Source organism: Homo sapiens, chromosome 13 (assembly GCF_000001405.40).
Source record: "Homo sapiens chromosome 13, GRCh38.p14 Primary Assembly".
Taxonomy (NCBI): Eukaryota; Metazoa; Chordata; class Mammalia; order Primates; family Hominidae; genus Homo; species Homo sapiens.
The window spans coordinates 85,116,594-85,135,199 of NC_000013.11; the positions used below are offsets into that span (position 1 = coordinate 85,116,594).

At 38.8% G+C, this 18,606-nt stretch overlaps 2 long non-coding RNA genes across 2 annotated transcripts in view; both read right to left on the reverse strand.

The window, feature by feature from the left end:
* LINC00375 (long intergenic non-protein coding RNA 375) overlaps positions 1-18,606 on the reverse strand; it is an 82,971-nt gene that overhangs the window by 51,507 nt on the left and 12,858 nt on the right. The gene's annotated exons all lie outside the window — the stretch shown is intronic.
* Positions 1-18,606, reverse strand: part of LOC105370291 (uncharacterized) — a 93,686-nt gene that overhangs the window by 4,798 nt on the left and 70,282 nt on the right. The window contains exon 3 of the long non-coding RNA XR_002957485.2: positions 599-730. This is a non-coding gene — a long non-coding RNA (uncharacterized LOC105370291). The remainder of the gene's footprint in view (positions 1-598; positions 731-18,606) is intronic.

Below are 18,606 nucleotides of genomic sequence, written 5' to 3' on the forward strand. Positions count from 1 at the left end.
AATCCAGTAAAAGATACTTTAATGAAAATACGAACTACTGATAGATTTTTGTAATTGTTGTTTAAAATAGATGATTGCTTGCCCTAGATATTAAAGTAAAAAATACCCCAATATTAGTATTAGCAATTCCTTGAATCTCTTTGCAAAAATAAATAAATAAATAAAGCACTATTTTTAACTGCTAGCTTAGAGCAGGGAGCTACTTCTATGTGATAATTAATTCTGACATTAAATTATTTAGTATAAGTTAGAAAAATTTTGAGACAGCTTAAAATAGTATGTATAGTTGATGTGTCCAGAACTTCTATTCATCAGCCTTAGTTTAATATACAACATTTATATGCACTCTACGTACCAAGCAGTGTTGTTTATGTGAACATAGAGAAGAGAAGAGCACGAGGGAGAACTGGTCATAGAAAAGCGCTGAAATGGGTGGAGACCAACACTCTCTATGCAGCTATTACATGAACTTCTTTCAATAAATTGGATCTTTTACACTGTCAAATTTGCTTGGCAAGGAAAACATTCTTCTTATCAAAAAATAGCACAAAATAAATCACTGGAAATTTACTCAATTAAAGAAAAAAATCCGATATACCTTTTTGTCAATCTCCATTTTCATTCAGCCACAATTATTTAGGATGTAAATTGCTTCTCAATGTATTTTGTCATTGCAAAGACACACTTCTAAGCCTTCCAGCGGTAATATTAAAAATGCTGGTATTACGACCTGAAAATGTTCAGAATGATGCAAAATTAACACATTCCCAAATACCCTAGCATAAAGGAAAAGAAAGCCATCTGCAGAAAAGCAGAAAATGATGCAGGAATAGGGATGATGGCATTCATTGCACCCCAGTTTTTTCTTCCTACACACACACACACACACACACACACACACACACACACACACTTCCTAGTAATGGTTCATGCTGACAGTAAGGACATAAATATAAATTTATTAAAAGATTAATAAATTTATGCTCTTACATACTAGTGTACCAGACACAAGTAGAAACAAAGGTAACACAGTGCAATTGAGGAGCTGGAGAATATTTTTTTCTACCAGAAATTGTTTTTAAAAATTTATTTTATTAAAAAATTATCCTACTCTTTTGATACAGTGTCTGCCTATACTTGAAAAACAGAATTGAGTCAAGATATGCTAAATGCCATGGCATATAAACCATTGGCACACTTGATCTTAGCTGTAATAGCAGTCCAAACATTAATGGTGATGGATGTGGGTAGGTAGAAATTTCCATCATTTATCACTGGAGTCTCTTAGTGTGTGTAATGTTCAGGAAAAAAATATTTAAACTGATAGTTTGGGGATAGTGTAACTTTGAAAACAGATCAGGCATGTTTATGAGAGCGAAGAGGTCCTTAAAGGCAATGGAGAAGCCACATCATATTATTTGGAATTAATTATGTGTGTATACATATATACCCACAACATATATACACATATAATTAATTCCCAGTAACACTACTTATGGTGCTATATATATTATGGTATAATATATAATGATTATTTAGTTATATATAATACCTATATGGTACATTGCAATAATTGTGCAATAGGTATGCTTATTGCTGTTAGGCCCTCTCAGATGACAGAGCTACAATATATATGTATATAACCCTTGTATATACATGCATGTATAAATATTTCTATATGTACTTATCTGTATCTATATTAAGCTCAGAATGAGTTTAATTGCTTCCAATTCTAACCCTCTACCACACAGATCATTCAAAACTTCTCTCATTTCAAAGCTATAGCTATAGCTTTGGAAAAAGGGATTCTTGGAGAAATGGCTTAATCTAGGATGGGGCAAGACTGTACAAGATGAGCATTTTATAGTGACATAAAGTAAGACTTACTCAAGATAAAATGGATAAAGTTATATCAACAGGACACAGAAACCAACTGACAGAGCCCCCAGTGTCCAAAATTGGAACAATTCAAGCATGAAAATAAATAAAATTCAATAATACCTCAAGTCATATAAATAAATATCCATGAGTTAGTAGTAATATGAATACATATTTTAAATAAATAAATAAGGAAGAATGGACAACTCTCTATTGCAGAAATCAGAAACATTCCAAATAATATATTCATATACTCTGCCCAAAATAAGTGAACAAATAACTCTACACTCTTAATTGTTGGTTGTTCATAGTGACTTTTTTACAGAGTGAAATCAAAAGGGATAACCAGAAAGAGAACCTGCTTCACACATCAGTTATCCACCTTTCTCAGAGAATGCAGCCAACAACTCACTGTCACTGGGTCAGATGACTGTCAATGAATGCATAAAGGATAGAAAAATGGACAAATTCTGGGTGTACTTCATGCACATGCACTAGAGCTGCCCATGGGTGGATTCAGGCAAGTAAGACCTCATTCTTGCTTAGATATATGCATCTTTTCTATCCTACTACTTCTACTCCTTGTGTCCAGACAGCACTTAAAAAATATCTTGCACAAGGATACTCATTTCTGGCCATGGTTCTAAAAATCCAAACTAAAACATAAGAAAAAACTCTGGCCCATTCTTAAAAGCAGAAGTTAATGAAGTTTAAAATTCAGAGCCCCTCACTTGTACATGTCCCTTCAGTCCTATGAGAGGGACACTAGTAATGTGTTAAAGTGATTGTATGGTTATATAAAAATCTATAATAAAAGTACAATAATTATACAATATTGGGTAAAACTGCAGTGTCTTTTCACTCTAACTTCATTGACAGTATCCTCTCACCCCATAAGGGAACCTACTGCATTTTTGAGAACCAAGGTATTACTACTATTACCACACATTGCACCAACTCACTTAGCATTGCATTGTGTAACTAAGGGGTATAGGTTGGAGGGTGACATAAATGGGTTCTTTTGCACTGGGGTTGCAAGTGGAAATATGTCAGTATAAAAGGAAAACAGTGTTTAAAATGTATAAAACCAGCATTAACATGTGGAGAATTCTTCTAACTATAAAACTGCAAGAATTTGGAACTTTGTCAAAGGCTAGTGATTTAAAAAAGCTCCATTCTCAGCCTAGATAATATAGCAAGACTCCATCTCTACATTTTTTTAATTACTCAGGCATGGTGGCATGAGCCACCAGCTGGGCATGTAGTCCCAGCTACTCAGGAGGCTGAGGCAGGAAGATTGAGCCCAGGAGGTTGAGGCTGCAGTAAGACAACCTGCCACTACTGCACCCCAGCCTGAGCAACACAACAAAGCCTAGTCTCTAAAAACAAAAAACCCCTCTATTCTGTCGGGTCAATGTTCAATAATAATGGTGCATTATTATATAATGCCATTATAACACCATATATGCGTGTGTGTGTGTGTATGTGTGTGTGTATACATATTTACTTTCTTTTTTTTTGATGGAATCTCATTACAATGATTAGAATTTTGTATACATGCAGTGCAAACCTGCTCCATTCCTAAAAACTGGAAGGACGTCAGTAAGTCACACACTTCGCCTATCCCAACTATTTAGAATAAAAACAAATTTCAATCAACCGTGCTAAAGGAAATACTAAGTTACTTTTCTTCTACAGATCATAATATTAAAAATAAACGAACTGAAAATGAGATTGAAGAGTATTCAGGAATACAACATTAGAAAAAGAGTACTGTAGAATCATGTTAGGCATATTATTTAAAGCTTATTTTCCTAGATTTTGTGATTTTGTAGCACTAGTGGAATTAAAAATTTATAATGGGCTGAGGAGTGCTTTACTTCCAACTATGTGGTCAATTTTGGAATAAGTGCGATGTGGTGCTGAGAAGAACACTCCTCAGCAAATGTAAAAGAACATAAATTGTAACAAACTGTCTCTCAGACCACAGGGCAATCAAACTAGAACTCCGGATTAAGTAACTCACTCGAAACCACTCAACTACATGGAAACTGCACAATCTGCTCCTGAATGAATTACTGGGTACATAACGAAATGAAGGCAGAAATAAAGATGTTCTTTGAAACCCATAAGAACAAAGACACAACATACCAGAATCTCTGGGACACATTCAAAGCAGTGTATAGAGGGAAAATTATAACACTAAATGCCAACAAGAGAAAGCAGGACAGATCTAAAATTGACACCCTAACATCACAATTAAAAGAACTAGAGAAGCAAGAGCAAACACATTCAAAAGCTAGCAGAAGGCAAGAAATAACTAAGATCAGAGCAGAACTGAAGGAGATAGAGACACAAAAAGCCATTCAAAAAAATCAATGAATCTGGGAGCTGGTTTTTTGAAAAGATCAACAAAATTGATAGACCGCTAGCAAAACTAATAAAGAAGAAAAGAGAGAAGAATCAAATAGACGCAATAAAAAATGATAAAGGGGATATCACCACCGATCCCACAGAAATACAAACTACCATCGGAGAATACTATAAACACCTCTAGGCAAATAAACTAGAAAAATCTAGAAGAAATGGATAAATTCATGCAGACACACACCCTCCCAAGACTAAACCAGGAAGAAGTTGAATCCCCGAATAGACCAATAACAGGCTCTGAAATTGAGGCAATAATTAATAGCCTACCAACCAAAAAAAGTCCAGGACCAGACGGATTCACAGCAGAATTCTACCAGAAGTACAAACAGGAGCTGGTACCATTCCTTCTGAAACTATTCCAATCAATAGAAAAAGAGGGAATCCTTCCTAACTCATTTTATGAGGCCAGCATCACTCAATAGATGCAGAATAGGCCTTTGACAAAATTCAACAACCCTTCATGCTAAAAACTCTCAATAAATTAGGTATTGATGGGATGTATCTCAAAATAATAAGAGCTATCTATGACAAAACCACAGCCAATATCATACGGAATGGGCAAAAACTGGAAGCATTCCCTTTGAAAACTGGCACAAGACAGGGATGCCCTCTCTCACCACTCCTATTCAACATAGTGTTGGAAGTTCTGGCCAGGGCAATCAGGCAAGAGAAACAAATAAAGGGTATTCAATTAGGAAAAGAGGAAGTCAAATTGTCCCTGTTTGCAGATGACATGATTGTATATTTAGAAAACCCCATCGTCTCAGCCCAAAATCTCCTTAAGCTGATAAGCAACTTCAGCAAAGTCTCAGGATACAAAATCAATGTGCAAAAATGACAAGCAGTCTTATACATCAATAACAGACAGAAAGCCAAATCATGAGTGAACTCCCATTCACAATTGCTTCAAAGAAAATAAAATACCTAGGAATCCAACTTACAAGGGATGTGAAGGACCTCTTCAAGGAGAACTACAAACCACTGCTCAAGGAAATAAATGAGGACACAAACAAATGGAAGAACATTCCATGCTCATAGATAGGAAGAATCAATATCGTGAAAATGGTCATACAGCCCAAGGTAATTTATAGATTCAATGCCATCCCCATCAAGCTACCAATGACTTTCTTCACAGAATTGGAAAAAACTACTTTAAAGTTCATATGGAATCAGAAAAGGGCCCTCATTGCCAAGTCAATCCTAAGCCAAAAGAACAAAGCTGGAGGCATCATGCTACCTGACTTCAAACTATACTACGAGGCTATAGTAACCAAAACAGCATGGTACTTGTACCAAAACAGAGATATAGATCAATGGAACAGAACAGAGCCCTCAGAAATAATACCACACATCTACAACCATCTGATCTTTGATAAACCTGACAAAAACAAGAAATGGGGAAAGGATTCCCTATTTAATAAGTGGTGCTGGGAAAACTGGCTAGGCATATGTAGAAAGCTGAAACTGGATCCCTTCCTTACACCTTATACAGAAATTAATTCAAGATGGGTTAAAGACTTAAATGTTAGACCTAAAACCATAAAAACCCTAGAAGAAAACCTAGGCAATACCATTCAGGACATAGGCATGGGCAAGGACTTTATGTGTCTAAAACACCAAAAGCAATGGCAACAAAAGCCAAAATTGACAAATGGGATCTAATTAAACTAAAGAGCTTCTGCACAGCAAAAGAAACTACCATTAGAGTGAACAGGCAACCTATAGAATGGGAGAAATTTTTGCAATCTGCTAATCTGACAAAGGGCTAATATCCAGAATCTACAAAGAACTCAAACAAATTTACAAGAAAAAAACAAACAACCCCATCAAAAAGTGGGCAAAGAATATGAACAGACACTTCTCAAAAGAAGACATTGATGCTGCCAACAGACACATGAAAACATGCTCATCATCACTGGCCATCAGAGAAATGCAAATCAAAACCACAGTGAGATACCATCTCACACCAGTTAGAATGGTGGTCATTAAAAAGTCAGGAAACAACAAGTGCTGGAGAGGATGTGGAGAAATAGGAACGCTTTTACATTGTTGGTGGGACTGTAAACTAGTTCAACCATTGTGGAGGACAGTGTGGCGATTCCTCAAGGATCTAGAACTAGAAATACCATTTGACCCAGCCATCCCATTACTGGGTATATATCCAAAGGATTATAAATCATGCTGCTATAAAGACACATGCAAATGTATGTTTACTGTGGCACTATTCACAATAGCAAAGACTTGGAACCAACCCAAATGTCCATCAATGATAGACTGGATTAAGAAAATGTGGATTTTGGTCACAAGATGGCCGAATAGGAACAGCTCCGGTCTACAGCTCCCAGCGTGAGCTACGCAGAAGACGGGTGATTTCTGCATTTCCATCTGAGGTACCGGGTTCATCTCACTAGGGAGTGCCAGACAGTGGGCGCAGGCCAGTGGGTGCACGCACCGTGCGCGAGCCGAAGCAGGGCGAGGCATTGCCTCACCTGGGAAGCGCAAGGGGTCAGGGAGTTCCCTTTCTGAGTCAAAGAAAGGGGTGAGGGACACACCTGGAAAATCGGGTCACTCCCACCCGAATATTGCGTTTTTCAAACGGGCTTAAAAACGGCGCACCACGAGACTATATCCCACACCTGGCTCGGAGGGTCCTACGCCCACGGAATCTCGCTGATTGCTAGCACAGCAGTCTGAGATCAAACTGCAAGGCGGCAGCTAGGCTGGGGGAGGGGCGCCCGCCATTGCCCAGGCTTGCTTAGGTAAACAAAGCAGCAGGGAAGCTCGATCTGGGTGGAGCCCACCACAGTTCAAGGAGGCCTGCCTGACACTGTAGGCTCCATCTCTGGGGGCAGGGCACAGACAAACAAAAAGACAGCAGTAACCTCTGCAGACTTAAATGTCCCTGTCTGACAGCTTTGAAGAGAGCAGTGGTTCTCCCAGCGCGCAGCTGGAGATCTGAGAACCGGCAGACTGCCTCCTCAAGTGAGTCCCTGACTCCTGACCCCCGAGCAGCCTAACTGGGAGGCACCCCGCAGCAGGGGCACACTGACACCTCACAAGGCAGGGTATTCCAACAGACCTGCAGCTGAGGGTCCTGTCTGTTAGAAGGAAAACTAACAAACAGAAAGGACATCCACACCGAAAACCCATCTGTACATCACCATCATCAAAGACCAAAAGTAGATAAAACCACAAAGATGGGGAAAAAACAGAACAGAAAAACTGGAAACTCTAAAACGCAGAGTGCCTCTCCTCCTCCAAAGGAACGCAGTTCCTCACCAGCAACGGAACAAAGCTGGACAGAGAACGACTTTGACGAGCTGAGAGAAGAAGGCTTCAGATGATCAAATTACTCTGAGCTACGAGAGGACATTCAAACCAAAGGCAAAGAAGTTGAAAACTTTGAAAAAAATTTAGAAGAATGTATAACTAGAATAACCAATACACAGAAGTGCTTAAAGGAGCTGATGGAGCTGAAAACCAAGGCTCGAGAACTACGTGAAGAATGCAGAAGCCTCAGGAGCCGATGCGATCAACTGGAAGAAAGGGTATCAGCAATGGAAGATGAAATGAATGAAATGAAGCGAGAAGGGAAGTTTAGAGAAAAAAGAATAAAAAGAAATGAGCAAAGCCTCCAAGAAATATGGGACTATGTGAAAAGACCAAATCTACGTCTGATTGGTGTACCTGAAAGTGATGGGGAGAATGGAACCAAGTTGGAAAACACTCTGCAGGATATTATCCAGGAGAACTTCCCCAATCTAGCAAGGCAGGCCAACGTTCAGATTCAGGAAATACAGAGAACGCCACAAAGATACTCCTCAAGAAGAGCAACTCCAAGACACATAATTGTCAGATTCACCAAAGTTGAAATGAAGGAAAAAATGTTAAGGGCAGCCAGAGAGAAAGGTCGGGTTACCCTCAAAGGGAAGCCCATCAGACTAACAGCGGATCTCTCAGCAGAAACCCTACAAGCCAGAAGAGAGTGGGGGCCAATATTCAACATTCTTAAAGAAAAGAATTTTCAACCCAGAATTTCATATCCAGCCAAACTAAGCTTCATAAGTGAAGGAGAAATAAAATACTTTACAGACAAGCAAATGCTGACCGATTTTGTCACCACCAGGCCTGCCCTAAAAGAGCTCCTGAAGGAAGCGCTAAACATGGAAAGGAACAACCGGTACCAGCTGCTGCAAAATCATGCCAAAATGTAAAGACCATCGAGACTAGGAAGAAACTGCGTCAACTAACGAGCAAAATCACCAGCTAACATCATAATGACAGGATCAAATTCACACATAACAATATTAACTTTAAGTGTAAATGGACTAAATGCTCCAATTAAAAGACACAGACTGGCAAATTGGATAAAGAGTCAAGACCCATCAGTGTGCTGTATTCAGGAAACCCATCTCACATGCAGAGACACACATAGGCTCAAAATAAAAGGATGGAGGAAGATCTACCAAGCAAATGGAAAACAAAAAAAGGCAGGGGTTGCAATCCTAGTCTCTGATAAAACAGACTTTAAACCAACAAAGATCAAAAGAGACAAAGAAGGCCATTACATAATGGTAAAGGGATAAATTCAACAAGAAGAGCTAACTATCCTAAATATATATGCACCCAATACAGGAGCACCCAGATTCATAAAGCAAGTCCTGTGTGACCTACAAAGAGACTTAGACTCCCACATTAATAATGGGAGACTTTAACACCCCACTGTCAACATTAGACAGATCAACGAGACAGAAAGTCAACAAGGATACCCAGGAATTGAACTCAGCTCTGCACCAAGCGGACCTAATAGACATCTACAGAACTCTCCACCCCAAATCAACAGAATATACATTTTTTTCAGCACCACACCACACCTATTCCAAAATTGACCACACACTGGGAAGTAAAGCTCTCCTCAGCAAATGTAAAAGAACAGAAATTATAACAAACTATCTCTCAGACCACAGTGCAATCAAACTAGAACTCAGGATTAAGAATCTCATTCAAAGCCGCTCAACTACATGGAAACTGAACAACCTGCTCCTGAATGACTACTGGGTACATAACGAAATGAAGGCAGAAATAAAGATGTTCTTTGAAACCAACGAGAACAAAGACACGACATACCAGAATCTCTGGGACGCATTCAAAGCAGTGTGTAGAGGGAAATATATAGCACTAAATGCCCACAAGAGAAAGCAGGAAAGATCCAAAATTGACACCCTAACATCACAATTAAAAGAACTAGAAAAGCAAGAGCAAACACATTCAAAAGCTAGCAGAAGGCAAGAAATAACTAAAATCAGAGCAGAACTGAAGGAAATAGAGACACAAAAAACCATTCAAAATATCAATGAATCCAGGAGCTGGTTTTTTGAAAGGATCAACAAAATTGATAGACTGCTAGCAAGACTAATAAAGAAAAAAAGACAGAAGAATCAAATAGACACAATAAAAAATGATAAAGGGGATATCACCACCGATCCCACAGAAATACAAACTACCATCAGAGAATACTACAAACACCTCTACGCAAATAAACTGGAAAATCTAGAAGAAATGGATAAATTCCTTGACACATACACTCTCCCAAGACTAAACCAGGAAGAAGTTGCACCTCTGAATAGACCAATAACAGGAGCTAAAATTGTGGCAATAATCAATAGTTTGCCAACCAAAAAGAGTCCAGGACCAGATGGATTCACAGCCGAATTCTACCAGAGGTACAAGGAGGAACTGGTACCATTCCTTCTGAAACTATTCCAATCAATAGAAAAAGAGGGAATCCTCCCTAACTCATTTTATGAGGCCAGCATCATTCTGATACCAAAGCCGGGCAGAGACACAACCAAAAAAGAGAATTTTAGACCAATATCCTTGATGAATATTGATGCAAAAATCCTCAATAAAATACTGGCAAACCGAATCCAGCAGCACATCAAAAAGCTTATCCACCATGATCAAGTGGGCTTCATCCCTGGGATGCAAGGCTGGTTCAATATACGCAAATCAATAAATGTAATCCAGCATATAAACAGAGCCAAAGACAAAAACCACATGATTATCTCAATACATGCAGAAAAAGCCTTTGACAAAATTCAACAACCCTTCATGCTAAAAACTCTCAATAAATTAGGTATTGATGGGACGTATTTCAAAATGATAAGAGCTATCTATGACAAACCCACAGCCAATATCATACTGAATGGCCAAAAACTGGAAGCATTCCCTTTGAAAACTGGCACAAGACAAGGATGCCCTCTCTCACCACTCCTATTCAACATAGTGTTGGAAGTTCTGGCCAGGGCAATTAGGCAGGAGAAGGAAATAAAGGGTATTCAGTTAGGAAAAGAGGAAGTCAAATTGTCCCTGTTTGCAGACGACATGATTGTATATCTAGAAAACCCCATTGTCTCAGCCCAAAATCTCCTTAAGCTGATAAGCAACTTCAGCAAAGTCTCAGGATACAAAATCAATGTACAAAAATCACAAGCATTCTTATACACCAACAACAGACAAACAGAGAGCCAAATCATGAGTGAACTCCCATTCACAATTGCTTCAAAGAAAATAAAATACCTAGGAATCCAACTTACAAGGGATGTGAAGGACCTCTTCAAGGAGAACTACAAACCACTGCTCAAAGAAATAAAAGAGGATACAAACAAATGGAAGAACATTCCATGCTCATGGGTAGGAAGAATCAATATTGTGAAAATGGCCATACTGCCCAAGGTAATTTACAGATTCAATGCCATCCCCATCAAGCTACCAATGACTTTCTTCACAGAATTGGAAAAAACTACTTTAAAGTTCATATGGAACCAAAAAAGAGCCCGCATCGCCAAGTCAATCCTAAGCCAAAAGAACAAAGCTGGAGGCATCACACTACCTGACTTCAAACTATACTACAAGGCTACAGTAACCAAAACAGCATGGTACTGGTACCAAAACAGAGATATAGATCAATGGAACAGAACAGAGCCCTCAGAAATAATGCTGCATACCTACAACTATCTGATCTTTGACAAACCTGAGAAAAACAAGCAATGGGGAAAGGATTCCCTATTTAATAAATGGTGCTGGGAAAACTGGCTAGCCATATGTAGAAAGCTGAAACTGGATCCCTTCCTTACACCTTATACAAAAATCAATTCAAGATGGATTAAAGATTTAAATGTTAGACCTAAAACCATAAAAACCCTAGAAGAAAACCTAGGCATTACCATTCAGGACATAGGCATGGGCAAGGACTTCATGTCCAAAACACCAAAAGCAATGGCAACAAAAGAAAAAATTGACAAATGGGATCTAATTAAAATAAAGAGCTTCTGCACAGCAAAAGAAACTACCATTAGAGTGAACAGGCAACCTACAAAATGGGAGAAAATTTTCACAACCTACTCATCTGACAAAGGGCTAATATCCAGAATCTACAATGAACTCAAACAAATTTACAAGAAAAAAACAAACAACCCTATCAAAAAGTGGGCAAAGGACATGAACAGACACTTCTCAAAAGAAGACATTTATGCAGCCAAAAAACACATGAAAAAATGCTCATCATCACTGGCCATCAGAGAAATGCAAATCAAAACCACTATGAGATACCATCTCACACCAGTTAGAATGGCAATCATTAAAAAGTCAGGAAACAACAGGTGCTGGAGAGGATGTGGAGAAACAGGAACACTTTTACACTGTTGGTGGGACTGTAAACTAGTTCAACCATTGTGGAAGTCAGTGTGGCGATTCCTCAGGGATCTAGAACTAGAAATACCATTTGACCAACCATCCCATTACTGGGTATATACCCAAATGACTATAAATCATGCTGCTATAAAGACACATGCACACGTATGTTTATTGCGGCATTATTCACAATAGCAAAGACTTGGAACCAACCCAAATGTCCAACAATGATAGACTGGATTAAGAAAATGTGGTACATATACACCATGGAATACTATGCAGCCATAAAAAATGATGAGTTCATGTCCTTTGTAGTGACATGGATGAAATTGGAAATCATCATTCTCAGTAAACTATCGCAAGAACAAAAAACCAAACACCGCATATTCTCACTCATAGGTGGGAATTGAACAATGAGATCACATGGACACAGGAAGGGGAATATCACACTCTGGGGACTGTTGTGGGGTGGGGGGAGGGGGGAGGGATAGCATTGGGAGATATACCTAATGCTAGATGACGAGTTAGTGGGTGCAGCGCACCAGCACGGCACATGTATACATATGTAACTAACCTGCACAATGTGCACATGTACCCTAAAACTTAAAGTATAATAAAAAAAAAAAAAAGAAAAGCAAAAGTTAAAAAAAAAAAAAAAGAAAAAGTATACATTTTGAAGAACTGAAAAACCATTGTAACCACACTGTGATGGTAAAGTCCTGTAAAATCGGAATTATTTATACTACAGACTATGCTGCCTATTGTATTGACAGCTGTGCATTATCCTAGAGTCTCTTTGTGTGAATATGGTTAACTTTACACATCTAAAAGATAATATATTTTTTAAAGAATATATAAAAAAAAGAGAAAAGTGTCATTGCCAACCTTCAATAATTATTGTAACTATATATTCCTACTAAGAAATTTTTCACTAAAACTTGAATTGTTTCATATTTATGAGCTTATTGATCCAGCCACCTGGAGTTCTATTACTACTTATAATAATGATTTATTATATTTTTAAGAAAAATAAATAGAGCCACTAAGACCGCAAAAAAAAAAAAAAAAAGAAAATGTGGCACATATACACCATGGAATACTATGCAGCCATAAAAAATGAGTTCATGTCCTTTGTAGTGACATGGATGAAGCTGGAAACCATCATTCTCAGCAAACTATTGCAAGGACAAAAAACAAAACACCGCATGTTCTCACTCATAGGTGGGAATTGAACAATGAGAACACTTGGACACAGGAAGGGGAACGTAACACACTGGGGCCTGTCGTGGGTTGGGGGGAGGGGAGAGGGATAGCATTAGGAGATATACCTAATGTAAATGATGAGTTAATGGGTGCAGCACACCAGCATGGCACATGTGTACATATGTAACAAACCTGCATGTTGTGCACATGTACCCTAGAACTTAAAGTATAATAATAATAAAAAATTTATAATGGGGCCAGACATGTTGGCTCACACTTATAATGTTAGCACAATGCAGGCCGAAGCAGGCAGATCACTTGAGGTCAGGAGCTCAAGACCAGCCTGGCCAACATGGCGAAACCCTGTCTTTACTAAAAATACAAAAATTAGCTGGGTATGGTGGTGTGCACCTGTAATCCCAGCTTACTTGGGAGGCTGAGGCATGAGAATTGCTTGAACCCGGAAGGTGAAGATTGCAGTGAGCCATGATTGTGCCACTGCACTCCAACCTGGGTGACAGAGAGACTCTCTCACAAAAAATATGTATAATGGTGTGCTTTTAAAAATTTAAAATAGAAAATTTAACAAAGAACAGTAGAGGTAAATAGAAAACAAATAGTGAAATGGTAGATGAAAATGAAAACATATTCATAATTGCATAAAACTTCAAAGGCCTCCTGTTTTGTCCAACATGGTAGCCATTAGCCTTATGTCGCTATTTCAATTTAAAATAATTGAAATTTTAAAATCATTAAAAATTCAAGTCTTCATCAATATTAGCGACATTTGAAGTTTTCAATAGTGACCTGTGGCCAGTGGCTATCATGTAGTAACAGTGCAGAATAGAACATTTCCATCAACCCAGAAAGTACTGTTAAACCATATTTTCTAAATACCCCAATTAAAAGGCAGAGATTATCAGATTGGGTAAGAGAGCAGTATTAAACTATATGTAAGAAGCCCTCTTTAAATATAAAGGCACAAACAAGTTAAAATTAAAATATAGACACAAACATCCACAGACTTAATCCCTTGCCCCTTCAATCAAATTCCATCTCATTGAGGTCTATCTTAACAAATACATATAAAATTGCATTCTTTCACTCCCATAGTCTGATCTGTACCAATGCCTGTATCCTTTTATCTTTCATCTTGTTGATTTTATTTCTATAGTACTTTCAACAGCACTTCAAAATTACATGTATATAAAATTTTCTGTCTCTCCTCTCTAACAGGTAAATTCTATTAGAGTAGGTATCTTTACCCTTTTGTTTCAATCGCATATACTAAGGGGCCAGAACAGAGGCTAGAGAATAGTAGACACTCAATAAATATCTGTTACATCAACTAATTAATTTTCACACCTGAAGTTCAGCATATCATGTTGTTGGAGAAAAATATAGCTGTAATTCGAAGTATACATGAAGAATGCAATGAGAAATATGGCTGAATTAAGGCCTAATATGTCATGCAAATATATATTTTCTCTGTAGTAAAAATTTCATTTTCCTAGAAAGTTATACATTAAATATATTTATTAGAAAAAATACTTACCTGAATTTTTGTAAAGATGCATTAAAAAAACAAGATATAAGTAAAGGTTTAGTAGATTTTCAATGGGAATTTAGGGACCCAGGGGTAAAAAGAAGAGTGGAAATAGCAGTGAGGCATGAGTGTATGACCATCTGCTTGCCTTTAGAATTCTTGAGACTCCTTAGAGATGGAGCTATTGGCAAGGGCTGAAAATAAAAATATATTGTATTTTTCTAAATAAATTATCAAATCAGAATTGGAGATCCTCAGTACAAATAACATAAACGGGTGGTAACCTGGAGGGAATACCTCAAATCCTATTTTGAATCCACTGGAAGTCATCCAGTAAGCCATTGAGTCAGGGAGGATTGTGGGTACTGCTTGCTGTCTCAAGTGTCAGCGTCTATTCACGGTGAGAAGGCAGTTTAAGGGCTTAATTATGATGGAAAGTTTACCTGACAGAGATATATTTTCTTTCTTTTTGCCCATCAACAAATAAAAATAGAGGGGGAGATTAGAAGATCTATGAGTTTGTGGCTTTTTTTGCCTTTTTCATCTGATGAAATTTGTTTCTTTCCTATTGAACAAATAAACTGTCCCTGAAAAACCATTTGTCATCCATGAAAAAGAATAATGATAATGTCTTTGAAAAATTCTAATGAAATGATTAGCAAATACAACAGGAGAATTAACAGAGACGGCAGCATCAGAAATGTGGAGGAGGAACTGTAAAAAAGCTCAAGCACTCTTCACTATTGCTCCTCTACCAGTGGGGATGATGACGACTGTTACTTGCCCAGAAAGTTATTTGCCTCAGTGCACAGGCCCTCTCTTGACCCTGTGGTGGTAGGAGGCTTAAGGTTCGATTTGCTTTATACTCAGAGCAATACTCAGACTCATTTATTTTTACTCATTGGCAGACAAGTGTCTTTAGCCTGAGTGTGTGTGCTTTATCTTGACCACTGTTTATGGGCTGAAAGAATTCTGTAGAAGCAGCCTTCTATACCAAGAGAAAGTACTGCACCTTCACTTGTTTACTTCTTCTTTTTATGGGTGGAATGAAAAGTGTCAGCACCTCTGAATTATTAAGCTATTAATAAAGCATCATAGTGTTCAGAATATTTTGTTATATGCCATGATGTTTGGAGATAGATGGAATGCTTTAATTTAGATTATAATCTTGATACCCACGCTTGATCAAGATATTTGCCTCAATTATAGAGCTTTATTGGTCCATTCTCACACTTCTATAAAGACGTACTTGAGACTTGAAGGGTCCAGCCCTATGGGGCTTAGCAGGTGTTCTCCCCATGTGCGGAGACGAGAGATGGTAAGAAATAAAGACACAAGACAAAGAGATAAAGAGAAAACAGCTGGGCCCGGGGGACCACTACCACCAAGATGCGGAGACTGGTAGTGGCCCCGAATGGCTGGGTGCGCTGATATTTATTACATACAAGACAAGGGGGCAGGGTAAGGAGGCTGAGTCATCTAAGTGATTGATAAGGTCAAGAAAGTCATGTGATCATGGGACAAGGGACCCTTCCCTTTTAGGTAGCTGAAGCAGAGAGGGAAGGCAACATATGTGAGCATTTTCTTCTATGCACTTATCGGAAAGATCAAAGACTTTAAGACTTTTACTATTTATTCTACCCCTATCTTCTAAGAACTTTCAAGAGGAACCAGGAGTATGGGAGGAACATGAAAGTGGACAAGGAGCATGACCATTGAAGCACTGCACCACAGAGAGGGGTTTAGGCCTCTGGATGACTGCGGGCAGGCCTGGATAATATCCAGCCTCCCACAAGAAGCTGCTGGAGCAAAGTGTTCTCTGACTCCAAGGGAGACTCCCTTTTGCTCCCTTTTAACCTGTCTGTTAAGTAACAGGTGCCTTCCCAGGCACTGGCGTTACCGCTTGACCAAGGAGCCCTCAAGTGGCCCTTATGCGGGCATGACAGAGGGCCCACCTCTTGCCTTTTTGGTCACTCTTCACAATGTCCCTTTAGCTCCTCACCCTATACTCGCCGGTTATTCCTTGGTAATATGAGTAATACAACAAAGAGTAATATTAAAGGCTAATGATTAATAATGTTTATACTAATGATTGATAATGTCCATGATCATCTCTATATCTAATTTGTATTATAACTATTCTTCATTCTAACTATTTTCTTTGTTATACTGAAATAGTTTATGCCTTCAGTCTCTTGCCTCGGCACCTGGGTAATCCTTTGCCCACAGACACTGGGTAATTTATAAAGAAAAGAGGTTTAATTGGTTCCTGGTTCTGCAGGTGATATGGGCTTCTGCTTCTGGGAAGGCCTCAGGAAACTGACAATCATAGTGGCAGGTGAGTAGGAAATGGACACGTCTTCACATGGCCAGCAGGAGACAAAGAGGGCGAGGAGGGAGGTGCTACGCACTTGTTTTTATTTATTTATTTATTTGTTTATTGAGACAGGGTCTCGCTCTGTCACCAAGGCTGGAGTGCAGTGGTGCGAACACAGCCTATTGAAGCCTCAAACTTTTGTGCTCAAGTGATCAATCCTCCCACTTCAGCTTCCTGACTAGCTGGGACCACAGGTGCATGCCACTGTACCTGGCTAATTTTTTGTATTGGTAGAGAAGAGGTTTTGCCATGTTGCCCAGGCTGGTCTTGAACTCCTGGGCTCAAGCAATTCACCCAATTCAGCCTCCCAAAATGCTGGGATTACACACATGCACCACTGCACCCAGCCACTGCACACTTTCAAACAACCATATCTTGTCAGAACTCACTCACAAAAGAGCAGCAAGAGGGAAGTCGGCCCCCATGGTCCAATCACCTCCCACCAGGCCCTTTCTCCAACACTGGCGATTACAATTTGACATAAGATTTGGGTGGGGGTACAGAGCCAAACCATATCAAGAGCCTAGCAGAATGGAGATCCTTTTCTTTCTTGTTAAACATTCTTAACTTCTAAAGTCATAAGGTATTGTATTAGTTTCCTAAGTGTGCTCTAACAAATTACCACAAATTTGGTCATTAAAACAACAGAAATGTATTGTCTTACAGTTCTGGAGGCCATGAAATCCAGCATGCCCAGGTCCTCTCTAGCGGATCCAGGGAAGAATCTGATTTTTTGTTTGTTTGTTTTTTATTTATTTTTTGCTCCTTTTAGATTCTAGTGGTTGCCCTGGCATTCTTGGGCTTGTAGCCTCATCGCTCCAATCTCTGACACCATCTTCACATTGCCTTCTCTGTGTGTGTCTGCATGAAATCACCCTTCACCTTATAAACACACTTGTGATGCCATTTAGGATCTACCTCGATAATCCAGGATACTCCAGGATCTAGCTCTTTCTGTTTAGTTTATTTATTTTTCATTTTTTTTAATTTCTTTTATGAGATGGAATCTTGCTCTGTCACCCAGCCGGAAGTGCAATGGCACAATCTTGGCTCATTGCAACCTCCACCTCCCAGGGTGAAGTGATCCTCCCACCTCAGCCTCCTGAGTAGTTGGGTCTACAGGTGCCAGCTGTCATGTCCAGCTAACTTCTGTAATTTTTGTAGAGATGGGGTTTCACCATATTTCTCAGGCTGATCTCACATCCCTGGACTGAAGTGATCTGCCCACTTCGGCCTCCCAAAATAGCTCTCTCCTCAGACTTTTAACCTAATCACACCTTTCATCTTACAAGACACATTCACAGGTTTTATGAATTTGATGTGGATATCTGGGGTAGGGGCCATTTTTCTTTCTGACACAGGTAGGATAAAAACAAAATCCACTTACTGGAAGAAACTTAGATGTTACTATTTTGACAAGAGAAAAAGGAATTATCTTGATAATTTTAGTTGATCAAAACTCACTACAGTTCAAAATTAC